The sequence below is a fragment of the Homo sapiens genome, chromosome 1, assembly GCF_000001405.40.
Source record: "Homo sapiens chromosome 1, GRCh38.p14 Primary Assembly".
NCBI classification, from domain to species: domain Eukaryota; kingdom Metazoa; phylum Chordata; class Mammalia; order Primates; family Hominidae; genus Homo; species Homo sapiens.
The window spans coordinates 37,034,632-37,047,918 of NC_000001.11; the positions used below are offsets into that span (position 1 = coordinate 37,034,632).

Here is a 13,287-nt window from a genome sequence, read left to right on the forward strand (position 1 = left end):
GCGCACACACACTTCACACTCACACTTGCCGAGGCGCACACTCGCGCGCTCACACCTGCGCGGGGGGCGGGGAAGGGGACCCTGGCCCCATTGTAGGGGGACGCCCGGAGAACGAGGACTCTCCTCGCTTCCCAGACGTCCCCACCCGCCCCGCCGGCCCCAGTCCCTTCTACTGCGAGGGCACGGAGCCCGGGAGCCAGGCGTGGAGCGCGAGAGCTGGCACCGCGAGCTGGGAGACGGCGGCAGCCCAGCGGCCGGACCAGCTGGAGGAGACGCGCCCGCCGGGAGCAGCGAGACCGGGAGCCCGCCGTCTGCGGAGCCTGGCCTCGCGGCTCCCACGCGGCGGGCGCTGGCTGGACGGCGGTGGCAGCGGGAGACTGACCCGGGAACCGGCTTCCCTCCCCAACCCCATTCCTCCTGGCAGCAGAGTTGGGGCTGGGGGTTCGGAGAGGCAGAATTCAAAGCGAATTGTCTACGCTGGGCCAGGGGAGCTGAGGGAGTTGGTAGAGGTGGGAGAGCCCAAGTCAGACCCCCTGCTGTGGGAAGCTGGACTTGACCGCGCACAGGTCCTGGGGCTGCGGAGGAGGAAGACCGCTCACGCCTTAGATGTAGGGGGGCGTGGGCGCCGGGCCCGCTCCCTCTCAGCCCTCTCCCGTAACTGTGCAGGAAGGGCTGGTGCCCCCTCCCTCATTCTCCTGAGAAAGAATAAAGAGAAACTGTAATTTGTCGTGGGATGGAGTAGGATCCGTGGGGGAGCAAGCTAAAGGGGTTAAAAAGAAAAACAACGTTGTTTATTAGCAATAATAATTTTTTTTCAAGTGGCGCTGGGTGTGAGGGAAGGGAAAGGCTGTGGAGCGAGGCTGGAGCAGGAGGCTGCGAATTACTCAGTTAGGCGAGTTTAATGACCTTTTTGACAGAGACAAAGCGGTGCCGATACAGTAGATAAATAAACGGATCTGTCACCGGGCAGCGGCTAGGCTGTGTGTGAATTTATTTTTCTCATTTAAATAATTTGATCTATTCTATCATTTCCAATCTTTCCCATTTGCCAGCTGTCTGGTAAGAGCATGGCCCCCAACATCTGAAGAGCAAATCTTTAATTTTCTTACAAATATTCTATGAGCCGAGCTCTCACCCGCCTGTTAATTTCCCTCTTTTTTCCCCTCCCTGTCTGGGTGCAGAGGCCCGTGGCATTGTGTGGGGATGTGAATATCTCAGTGTGGCCAATCCTGCCAATTAGGAAGGGACGCCCTCCCACCTGAGGTGGAGGCCACTGTGGCTGTGGGAGGAGGAGAGACTCCCTGGGCTCCTCACAAAAGAACACAGAGGGGTGCGCCCGTCCTGAGGACATCCTCAAAAATCCAGCAAACAAACTGAGGTTATTGAGTGTCTGTCTCTGCCAAAGTTGGGCCTCCCTCGCCCTGGAGCAGGAGCGGCTGGTTTCCCAAGCAGCCACTGGAAAATGTTGCCCGAGGGATCGGAGGGAAGGACACGCAGACCAAAGCTAGGGAAGCAGCAGCTGCCACCTCTTGATAAAAAGTAAGGGCTCCAGTGGGCGCCAGTAAGGAGGAAGTGCAGGAGAGGGCAGCAGAGGGCGCGGCCTCCCGGATATAGCTGGGGGAGCCCCTTCCTTGGGGACGCACACCCCTCCCCATCGCCTGCCTATCAGCTTCCGCAACAGGTTTGGTTGCCCCAAGGAACCAAAAGGCCTAGCTGTTCTCTAAGGAAGAAAATTTCGGTGCGCTGATAGACAAACGGAAAGGGACCTGAACTTGAGGCAAAGGACACAGGGCTAAAACGGCATTGCCCAAGGCTGGTCTGGGGACAGGCAAGGGGAGTGCCTGGATGCTAATTCTGCCTGGGTTGTCCTGCAGTCAGCCTGCAAGTGGCTTGGCAGAGAAACAGAAGCAGCAGAAAGGTAGAGGTGTGGCTCCCAGGAGGGAGCAGATCCAAGGCCTGTGGAAGGGAGGGATAAGGGGAGGGGAGCAGGAGGAGAAGCAGCAGCCTCCAAAAAAGCTAGCATGAAAGTGGTGCTAGAAACGCGAAGGGAGGAAGGCAGAGGGGGATGCTGAGGCCCCCAGAGGGTGAGAGTGTGGCTCTGCCACCTGCGAGCCCCCTCGGCGCCCCAGGGAAGCAGCACAGGCTGGGCCTGCTCCTCCTGCATCCCAGAGTGGGCGGGAGTTACCCAGCACGCTGCGGATCGAGGCTTTTTTCTGCTGCCACGTAGGGCTGCGGTGGGAAAGAGCCTCCCAGCTGCAGAGGCTGTGGGGCCCAGTCACTGGACTTGGAAGGCAGCTGGAACCCTGCCTTCCAAGTTGGGGCCAGAGGGAAGCTGCCATCGCCAGCCTGGGACTGGGCCTTTTTCTTGACCTGGCTGCGAGCCATTTTGTGACACAGAGGTTTCCCCAAAACTAACAGCAGCGTGTTCCCTCCCGGTCTAGGGGAGGGTGGGATGCATTGCAAGAACAGAAACAGCAGCAACGATCCCCATAATGACCCCTAGTATTTATTACATGTTTTTATGTTCCAGACAATATATTCACTACCTTACACGCATCACTTCACCTCTTGCTCTCCACACCCACTGCGATAGGATCTTTGTCTAAAATAACAAATCCATTTTACAGATGAAGACTGAGCCTCAGCGGGGTTAAGTAAGAGGTCCAAAGTCACATCGCTGGTATGTGACCTTTCTTTCTTCCCTCCATTCCCCTTCCCTCCCTCTCTCCCTCCTTCCTTCCCTCCTTCCCTCCCTTCCTCCTTCCCTCCCTCCCTTCCCCCCTTCCTCCCCTCCCCTCCCTCCTTCCCTCCCTTCCTTCCTACTTTCTTCTAAAACATATTGGGCATCACCATTTGCCAGGCACTGTGGGTGAGATGTCAAGGTTCACATATAGGCTCAGCCGACTCCTGAGCTCATAGAATTAACCCTGTCCTCTACCATCTGGGCTGAGTAGGGGACAAGCTGCAGGGGCCAATTCTCATCACTCTTGTGGAGCCCCACTGGGGCTGCTGCCTGCGGTGGAAGGCTAAGAGCAGAATACTCAGACACTTTATCAGGGCAGATCGGGGAGCCCAGTCATCCCTAACTCATGAAGAGAGACCTACAGCCCTCTCTGCCGGTGGCATGACATGCCTCTCCAGGCTGCCCCGCCACCAGCAGGCACCAGGGCTGGCACTATCTCCAGCCGCATCTCCTCCGGGCATTGGGAGCCGCCAATCCTGGCTTTTCGCATTGTTGGTAAACAAGTCTACCCACCAGCCAGGCCTAGGCTCCCTGCTCCCCCACGAGGCAGCCAGCGCCGGATTTATGAGGCCTCCAAACCTCATTCAGACTAATGCAGCTTTTCATTCCCAAATAAAAGGGGCCGCTGTCTGAAAGGACAAGTGCTCCCGCATTTCATTAACATCCCTGAAAACGGCTGAGCTGGCCCGAGTTCCTGCCAGCGAGATTCATGTCTCCCACTGGCTCACAGGTGGGTGGTGAGGGTAGGATTTCCAGGAAGAAACCCAAGACTCCCAGCCCCCTCCCTGGCCTCGTCCCCCCACCCCTCCCCAGCTACTTTGGGTGAGGGACGGGGCACCCAGTGGTGGCCGATCATGCTCTTTGGAGGAGCCCCCTGTGCACGTGTTTTGTTTAGACTGATCCACTCTGGCTCTCAACCCCCCCCACAATCGCAGTGAGTGATGATGCCCTGGGCTCGAGTTACCGAGATTCATGTTCTCTGCTTCCCTGGGAAACCACGGAGTAGACGTGTGCAGTGGCTGAGTGCAGATTCCTAGGACTTGAGTGCCCTCTGCCGAGGCCTGCCTACCTTCAGCTCCCTTCCTGCTACCCAGTAGGCAGGCTGCTGGTCGTGGCTGGACGCTGAAGCCCTGGGGCTTCAGCCACTCCCTTAAATGTCCTACCATGGGGCCAGGCTGCTCTACAAGCCTGCACCTGGGGTGCCTTGCTGAGAATGGGGGAGGGGCTCCCTTGCCCCATCTCACCCCAGCATGGGGCCATGATGAGAGGAAGGCAACCGCCAGCCCTTGCCTGATCTTTGCCAACTGCCTGAGCAGGGAGGGAAGAGAAGAGGCCTTCCCTGTAGCCTACTCTATTGTACAGTGTTCTCTCAATGGCAAAGTGCGTGCTCACCACAAAAGCCGTGCCCCAGCCCTTTGCAGGACACCGTGACCTGCCTTTTGGCTCAGAGACAGGGACCCTTTCATCACCCTGGGGCTTTTGTCCCTCATCCCAGTCCCAAGGGAACAGCACAGCCAGGCTGCCACCTGAGCAAGCAATAAGCCCAGCGAAGGTTGCGTCACCTTAGATTTTTGTCAACAGTCAGGCAAGCTCCTTCCCACTGAAGTCAATTCCTGTGTTTATTGTCAGCTTAACCCACTGCTGTGAGTTATTTCTCAGCAGTGAGGGATACAGGTAGACAAGCCACCGGAGATATGTTATTTTACTGACATCTGTGTTTCAATAGTTCGGGTGCGGTTCTGGTGGAGGAAGAAAGGGATACACAGCAACCCCATTTGTATCTATACATAATGGAACAGAAGCTGATGGGCTGGAAGCAGAGTGGGTTCTGCTGCCGTGTGAGGAGCACTGTGGGGAGAATTATGCACAGGGAACGAACCAGCACCTCCTGGCCTCCCAGGTTCTGGCAATAGGCTCCCTTTCTTCAGCACCATGGGTGGGGACCAAAGTTGCTTGCTCACTCACTCGCTCATTCATCCATTCCCTAATTAATTTATTCATGTACTCATTCATTCCATCACATCCATTCACTCATTCATCTGTTTATAGGATCATCCATTTATTTTCATCCACTCAATCACTCACTTGTTCATTTACTCAGTCCCTTACCCATTCATCTACTCACCATTCAGTGATTCTCTGATTACTTCTTCTAATCCCTCAATGACCCACTCATTCACTTATTCTTCCATTAATTTTGCTTATTTGCTCACTTGCCCCCTCACGCATTTTCTTACTTACATTCATCTGCTTACTTATTATTCACTCATCCATTCATTCATTGACTTAGCCATCTATTCTTTCTTCAATCACCCAGTTGTTCATTCATTCATTTACTTTCAGTCCTCTGCTTGGTCACCCACTCACTCATTTACTCACACACTCATCCATTCACTTGCTCAATCACTCTGTCCCTCATGCACTGCCTCCTCACCACACCCAGCAAAGACATCTGCCTGCTCCTCCTGTCCTCAGTCACTTTGGGGTCTGAGCCTCAGACACTGCTGCTCCCGCCAGCCACCAGGTGTCCTGGCTTCTTCAGAGCCCCACTCTCATATCCTCCACTTTATGATGAAATTCAGCAAACTTCAAGATTCTGCCAACATCCCTGACCCTGGAGAGGGTCTGGGCATTTGTCCTACGAGCAGGGACCAAGGCCCAGAAAGACCCAGAGTCCACGTCTGGTGATGGGCATAACATCCGAGGTGTCCCACAGTGCCACCTCACTGAGCCAAGAGCCATCCTGGCTTCCACTTACATCATCTCTTGTTGTCTTTGGAACAACCCAGGGATGCAGGAGGGAAGAAATGGGCTCAGAGGAGTCAAATATTACTGGGGAGGGCAGAAGTAGGCCCGTATTGTTGTTCAGATGATGGGGAGAGAACAAATACATGAATGAATGTGAGAATGAATAAATGAGGTAACATGAAAGAATGAGCAAATGAATTAAAAAGTGGATGAATGAATGACTAGATGAATGACTCCTGCCCAAAAAGTAAGTGGCAAACAGCTTCTGACCCAAGTGACTGAACTCCCAGTCCAGTACTCTCTCCACTGCTTAACAATTGCTGCCCTGGATCCCTGACCTTGCAGGAATCGGTGGGGGGAGGGGAGACAAAACTAGAGCATGAATTAGCCAACAATAGATTTTTGTAGAGAAGTGTCTCCCTCAGAGGCTGCGGTGAGCCAGTTCTCGGCTGCACCTGTCCCCTCATGGGCAGGAGGCTGCCATCATCCCTCCTTAGAGAGGCAGAGAGAGAGAGACAGAGTGATCCTTGAAAATCCAATCACTCAGTGATAAGAAAATAAACAAGTGAACTTCTCCAAGTTTGCCAGACTTCCCTGCCCGAGGCCAGCTTAATTAAAGTTGATGTAGAATTTTAAAGTGGGAAAATAATTAGGGCAAGTGGCAGAAAAGAGAGAGGAAAAAACACATTGTTTTGTTCTGTGTTTTGCTCACTCTTAATTATGCCACAGACTGTCTCTCCTGTGGATCCCATCCCAAGTCTGCCCTCCGCCAAGATTCCAGTAGGTGGTACACTGTGTGAGTGGCACAGGCACACCTGTGCCTCTCTGGCACACAGGTATGGAGCTTCTCTGCCTGCAAGACAGGCAAGGCGCCAGACAGCCAGGCTTGGAGTGGAGATGAGCACGTGTCCCGGACACTCAGGAGGAGGAGCCAGGGGGAGATGGAGACAGAGGCAATGGGAAGAGATGCTGCCTCCCTGCCCCAGGTCCAGAGGGGAGTGGGCACTGGGTTCCTCCCTCCCTGTGATGCCAGACATGGGCCTTAGTCAGGACATTTCTAACCCCAACCTTGAGGGACGGCAGATCCCTAATGATACAGCCTCTGTCCTGCCTTGCTCCAGGGAGACAAGATTTTCCAGCAACCACCAAATGTTGGAGGAAGTACTTGGTGTTTGGCCCAGAATGGGGCTGGGGCTGGTTAGAATGCTGGCTGCAGCAGGTGCTAGGACTCAAGCCTACCCCACACCCAAGCACCTCTGTGTCCAGATGTGCCTTGCTTTGTTGCTGTTCTTCCTTCTGGCAACAGGGCAGACAGGCTGAGCACCAGCTTCATGAACTGATTAGAGGCAAAGGCAGCCTGGGCAGGGGAGAGTTACAGGCTCCTTGGGGGAAAGAAAAGGAGGAAATTCCTTTAGGTTTCATTGAGGGGAACTGGGCATGAATGAATACCTGTCCCTGGTGCTGTGCCTGTACACACACAAGCACACCAGTACAGGTACATGCCCATACTACTGCACACACACACACACACACACACACACACAGAACTACCAACATCCACCCACGACTCGGGAAAGCATGAACTCTGCAGCCAGACAGCCTGTCTTCAAATCAGCTGTGCCTCTTACCAGCTGAGCATCCCTGGACAATTTACCTAATTTTCTGTGCCTCTATTTCCTATCTATAAAATGGGGATAATAATAGTATCTGCCCTGCAGGGCTGTTGTGAGGATTAAATGAGGTAATACATGTGATATGCTTAGAACTGTGCCTGGCACATTGTAAGGGCATGTCACACTTAGCGATCAACTGTCTCTGCTGCTTGGAAGTGTCAGACTCCTGAGTAGAGCCTTGGGGGAACTCTCTCCAAGCCTCCAGCAGGAAGAACAGTGTGTTTGTGCATGCACGCACACACACACACACACACACACACTCAGATGGATCCCTGGCCTCCAGGTTCACCAGGTTGCATGTGAGTGGGGTAGAAAAGGCTCAGAAAGACTGACACATGTCAGGCTGCTCCTCTACTCTCCCCCATCCCTGACCACATGGAGCGGGTCTGCAGAAGCTGTGGGGTTGCTGAGTTGAGGGTCTTTGTGTTCATCCAGCAGGCTGGCTGGCTGCCTTGAGGGAAGGAAATCCTATGGCTTGCACCCCAAACCTGCTGTCAGATTTTGACATTTCTCCAGGATCCCTCCTCCCTAGCAAGCCCTCACCCCTACCCACCTTGGCTTCCTCTTGGTCCTGACCTTAGTGATATTCCCCGCTTCTCCCTGCATCTCTGTCCAAGATCTCCCCATCCCCAGAGAACCTGCCCAGTATCTGACCTGAGGGAACAACTCAGGAGGATCCATTTAAAAAGAAGGACATGCCCCTCCCAGAGCTACCCAGAACTGGGACCCTTCGTAAGCCTCGGGGCAGGGGGTGGGGGGCTGGGACCCTGAGGACTCAGAGGCAGCTCCGAGGCCTGGGTGCTGAGTGTTGCTCTGTCTCCCAGGGGCCAGAAGGAATGCAGCTGTGGAGGCAGGCAGTCAGGAGAGGCTTGGGCTGGAGCCTGGGCAGGGGATGGAAGAAGCTTAGCTGTAGGAACCAGCCCCAGCTCTGTGTTATCTCCGAGGCAGCAGGGGGACTGTGCGGCAGGGATCCCAGTTCTGCCAATCAGTTAATCCCAGGCTCCAGCCTTCCACCTGGGTTTGGTTGGGTTGAGTAAATGAACCGGGGACAGGTGCCAGTGGCCACAGCCTCCTTTCTCTGAGTTGCCTTCATTTCATTCTATTCACTCAGCCAGCCAAGTCCCTTTGCTCTCAAGCTTACACACATGTCTCTTCCAAGCACCAGGACACTCAGAGAAGCACAGAGGTTGAGGACAGACAGGAACCAGGTGATGGGGATGGAGAATAAGCATCTGATTAGCCATTCTTTAGGGATAGGAGGGAATCCAACAAGGCCCAGCGACCCTCCCTGCCAAAAGGACAGGAGGCTCCCTACGCTTCAGGTCAGGGCACTTGGGCCATTGATGGTGGCCTCACTGCCCCAGGGAAGAGAGGAGCATGAAGGAGCAGCTGGGATGGGGCCACTGATGGCTTTTTACAGGACTCTTCTTCTGGGCATACCCCCACCCCCACTCCAGAGAGCCCACTGGGAAGGACATGCTCCAGGGAGTCCCCAGTTAGGTGGTCATTATCTTGCTAATTTATGCTCTGTAGCCAGAAGCCAGGACATAAAGGCAGGGGTATGGACTAGAATTCCACAGCCTATGGTGGGAAGTTTGGGGCTGGTCCTGCGTCCACACAGCACACATACCATTGAGTGAAACATAGAGACAATTTTCTAGATAATGCAAAGGAACACTCTTACACCAATCACACTTCAAGTTAGTCCCAGAACTCTACCCAGCTGCTTCCCTCAACCATGTCTTTATGATTTTTTTTCAAGCATTCCTGGTGACCCACTGTCACAGGGGGAGTAGGAGGGGCCGAGATGGCACAGGAGGGCTGTAGGGTCATAGCTGAAATCCAAGGGGACAAATGGGAGATGCTGAGGGCACAGGCAGGAAGAGAGGGGATGTGGGTAGAGATCAGGGAGACTCAGAGAAAGATAAAGGGAATATGTATAGGGTTTGAGGGGACGGATGAGAACTTGAGAACCCACACAGGGGACAAAGGACAAACTAAAGGTCATACACAAGGTAGGAGTTTTCGACCCAGACTGAAGTTGGAGGAAGATGGGTAGGAGTTATAATGACCTAGAGAAGAGCAGAAGGGAGAAAGCTGGGGACTTGGAGGACAAGGAAAGGGACTCTCCTCTATAAGCAGCTCCCAGCCTTGAAGAGAGAAAAAGCACAAATGAAGGCTGATGGTGGGTGGAGGAGGAAGAGGAGGAGGAGTAGAGGATGAAATATATTGCCAAGAATAGCTGCTGAAACAACCAAGAGTTGAAGGCCAAGTTTAGCATATGCTCTTGAGAGGACATTTGCAGAGCCAGATCCCTGAGGCCCCACCTAGGTCCTGAAGCATCATCCACACACTAACCAGGAAGCCAGGGATGGTGCATTCCCAGAGTACCCAGCGTGTGCTCAGGGGCCACCTACTCTGCCCAGCTCTGTGTCCTCGCTTTTGAGGAGCTCGCGGGACACCAGGAGAGCCAGGCCTGGAAACGGAGCATTCCACGTATTGGGACAAGCATTGTACTGGCAGGCAGACGTGGGCACTGTGGGAGCCCAGATGAGGGAGAGCCCTCAACAAAATCCAGTGGCTTCCTTGATCAAGATGAGAGAGGAGTTTAAGCCCAGGGAAGCAGCCTCAAGTCCAGGTAAGCATTGAACAAGCTCCTGTAGGATTTACTGTCTCTGTCCTTTCCCCACAGCACCACCAGCCCTGAAGTCAGGCTCTGAGTTCCCCTCTCCAGCCCCACTCCACCTCCAAGGCTGAATTGTCTCACTAGGATCACCTGGGGACTTTTTTAAAGAAGGCGTTATTGCAGTATCATTTACATACCATAAACTTCATCCATTTAAACTGTACAATTTAATGATTTTTAAGTAAATTTGCAGACTTATGCACCCATCACTGCCATCCAGTTTTAGAACATTTTAATTTTTAAATGAAAATATAAAGGTGAATGAGGTGGCACCTAAGGAGGTGATTAGGAATGGATCCTTGTCACTATCTTGGGAATGGGCTTGTTATCGTGACAGTGGGCTGTTATAAAAGCAAATTCCGCTCTCTCTTGCGCCCTGCACTCTCTTGCTCTTCCTTCTTCCTCCGTGGGATGACGCGGCATGAAGGCCCTTGCCAGATATAGTGGGCCCCTCAATCCTGAATTTCCCAGCCTCCAGAAGTGAAAGAAAGAAATCTCTGCTCTTTATAAATTACCAAGGTTCCGGTATTCTGTTATAATAGTACAAAACGCTGTATCTCAGCCACTGTTGGAGGGACCTTTCCAAAATGCAAAATGCAAAGGAAGCGGGGGCTGTTCCTCTGCTCAAAACCCTCTAATGGCTCCTGGACAAGTGTCTCGGGGTGGGATAGCCATAAGAAGTAAATCATAAGCAGAGGCACTTGGGGACTTGGGGGACACGGAAGGGGAATCTCCTCTATAAGCCCCTCCCACCCTTGAAGGAGAGAAAAAACACAAATGAAGGCTTGCTACGTGCTAGGCAGCATTCTAGGCACTTCACATGCATTAATTCTCTTAATCCACACAACTGCCCTTTGAGGTAGGCACTGTTATTATTGCCACTGTTATTATTGCTACTTTGCTGATGAGGAAATGGAGAGACAGCTAGTAAGTCGTGGAACCAGGTTTAGCATCCAAGCAGCCAGGCTCCCATTCTCTCACCCTCTAGGCCATACCACACTGTGTGGGCTGCCCATGATCTCTTCTCTCTCTCTCTCTTTTTTTTTTTTTTGAGAGGGAGTCTCACTCTGTCACCCAGGCTGGAGTGCAGTGGCACGATCTCAGCTCACTGCAACCTCTGCCTCCTGGGTTCAAGCAATTCTCCTGCCTCAGCCTCCCAAGTAGCTGGGATTACAGGTGTGCACCACCACACCCAGCTAATTTTTGTATTTTTAGTAGAGATGGGGTTTCGCCATGTTGGCCAGGCCGGTCTTGAACTCCTGACCTCAAGTGATCCACCTGCCTCGGCCTCCCAAAGTGCTGAGATTACAGGCCTGAGTCACCGTGCCTGGCTCATTATTTCTTCTCTAATGTTACCTGACCTGTGACTCCCCACCCTCTCCACCTCTTCCACCTGTTTCCACTTCAACCCAAACAGCCCATCTACTTTCATGCCTTTGCACGTTTACACAGTCTCTCCAGGTATGACACCTAGATCTTCCTGCACCCTTTTCTCCACTGGGAATTTCTGCTTATGCTTCAAAACCCAACTTCAATGTCAGTTCTTTTGTGATCCTTTCTACAACTTCCCCAGACAGTTAACTGTTGCAGTCCCTGTGTTTTCCCTGGACTTTGCACACATCTCAGTTAAGAAGTGGGTCTCTGAAGGCTGCAATTAGTGCTGTGTCCCAGTCCGTCTTCCCAGTCTATGAGCTTCTCTGGGTCAAGGGCAGTGTCTGCCTTGTCTCTATAACTCCCACAGTGCCTGAAATACATCATAGGCTTGTTAAATTGCAATGGTCCAGTCAGAAAGGTGGGGTAGGGTGGGAGGGTCCTGCCATCTATTTTCAGTCTCCAGCCCGGTCTTCTGTCAAGTATAGCAGGCCCTCCCTTCACGGGGCCACAGCTGCCATTTTTAAAACTGCAAAGGACAACGTGTCTCCAACTGCAGAGGCAATATTGGTTTATTCTCCTCTATTTCCCAAGCACTACCACATGGTCTATTACAGAGTGGGCACTCAGTAAATGCTCCTATGAATGGGTGTGTGAGTGAGGGAGTGAACGAGGCCCCATCCTCCAGGTTCCCTGACAAGGACTCTGTCTGGCTCATGTCCTCTTTCCACTTAAAGACGCCTGGATCTTTCCTAACTCCACTTATGCAGGAGGTTAATTCAAGTGCTTTCCAGCTTAGCAAGCAATAAACAATTTGGTGTTGCAGTGAGTTGTTCTGCATGCCATATTTATGGATCGAAATTGGGGGGAGGGGTTGGGGGCATTATTAAGTTCAGTGTTAACGGGGATGTTATATGCCCTTCCTTAATTACTTTCCTCTCTTTAATTAGATGTTTGGGGGAGGGGTGCTCCAGGGAGGGGGACTGAAAGTTACAGCAGAGAAGAAAAGCATTGGTGGCATTCTGCCATCTGATAGGACAGCAGTCATCCGTGGGGGGTCAGAAGGAGGAGGGGGAGGGGGCCATCTCCTCTCTAGAAGGGACCCTGAGCGTGGAGAATTCTGAGAGCATGCTTCCTCATGGTTCTTTTCTCCAGGGGCCCTGTTTTCCCTCTTGTTTCCCCTCGAGTTTCTCTCTTTGCACCAGCCAGGAGCGGTTCCAGCCTCCTCCCTGCTGAGCAGGCACCCCTCTCCTTTCTGACTCCAGGCAAAGGTCACAGGATGAACTGTCTGTAACACAGATGCCCCTTTGCAGTGGTGCAACTGGGGGACCCTGGGCACCTCTTCTTCAGCCCAACAGGCCATAAGCTTGAGGGCAAGGTCTTCTTCCCAACATCCATCCCCTGTGGAGCACTTCCAAGTCCCTTCTTGTGGGCATCCAAACCAGATAATAACCCATGCAGACACCGTGCTAGGCGCTTCCCATTGACCTCATTTGAGCCTCTTGATGACTCTGGGAGGCACTGTCAACGACCCACGGTGAATGACTGGCCTGAGTGGCACAGCTACTCGGCAAGTGTTTGATCCCCTCGAATCTTTCCCTGGCACTGATGCTGCCTGAGTAGAGCTTCTGCAAACTGAGAGCATGAGCTGCTGTTTCCCATAATGGACCAGAAGCCACAGGGGCAGCCAACGCACCTGCTCTGGCTGAATCAGGCATCTGAGGGTGGGGAGGGTTCCTCCAGGACCCAGTTGATGGGGACCCGGCGGGGCCCCCCATCTCTCACACATGCCGGCTTCCCATGCCAAGTCGCTTCCTCTTCTCCCCACTGCCTGTGGGGAGACGAGCTCCAAACCCAGCCCATCTGCTGCATTTTCCTGAGACTCCCGAGACGATCCAATTCCGCACACCAGATGGGAAATAGCATGTACATTTCGGATGGTGATTAGTGTTTTTGTTTTTTTCCCCGAACGCTCACGTTAATGGCGCTCCTTCCTGAAAGCAAATTGGAAAGACTTCAGTTTGACGGAGCCTTGTCGACTTCCACCCCGCCGCCCCCGCTCAAAT

General features: G+C 53.1%; 4 annotated features.

The window, feature by feature from the left end:
* Positions 13-574: an enhancer, noted in NCBI's record as "H3K4me1 hESC enhancer chr1:37500245-37500806 (GRCh37/hg19 assembly coordinates)". NCBI's record gives its function as "activates a minimal SCP1, AML or CMV promoter by ChIP-STARR-seq in naive H9 embryonic stem cells {active_cell/tissue: H9 hESC(naive)}" and the evidence as "EXISTENCE:reporter gene assay evidence [ECO:0000049][PMID:30033119]".
* Positions 575-1,135: an enhancer, noted in NCBI's record as "H3K4me1 hESC enhancer chr1:37500807-37501367 (GRCh37/hg19 assembly coordinates)". NCBI's record gives its function as "activates a minimal SCP1, AML or CMV promoter by ChIP-STARR-seq in naive H9 embryonic stem cells {active_cell/tissue: H9 hESC(naive)}" and the evidence as "EXISTENCE:reporter gene assay evidence [ECO:0000049][PMID:30033119]".
* Positions 3,381-3,941: an enhancer, noted in NCBI's record as "H3K4me1 hESC enhancer chr1:37503613-37504173 (GRCh37/hg19 assembly coordinates)". NCBI's record gives its function as "activates a minimal SCP1, AML or CMV promoter by ChIP-STARR-seq in primed H9 embryonic stem cells {active_cell/tissue: H9 hESC(primed)}" and the evidence as "EXISTENCE:reporter gene assay evidence [ECO:0000049][PMID:30033119]".
* Positions 8,063-8,630: an enhancer, noted in NCBI's record as "H3K4me1 hESC enhancer chr1:37508295-37508862 (GRCh37/hg19 assembly coordinates)". NCBI's record gives its function as "activates a minimal SCP1, AML or CMV promoter by ChIP-STARR-seq in naive H9 embryonic stem cells {active_cell/tissue: H9 hESC(naive)}" and the evidence as "EXISTENCE:reporter gene assay evidence [ECO:0000049][PMID:30033119]".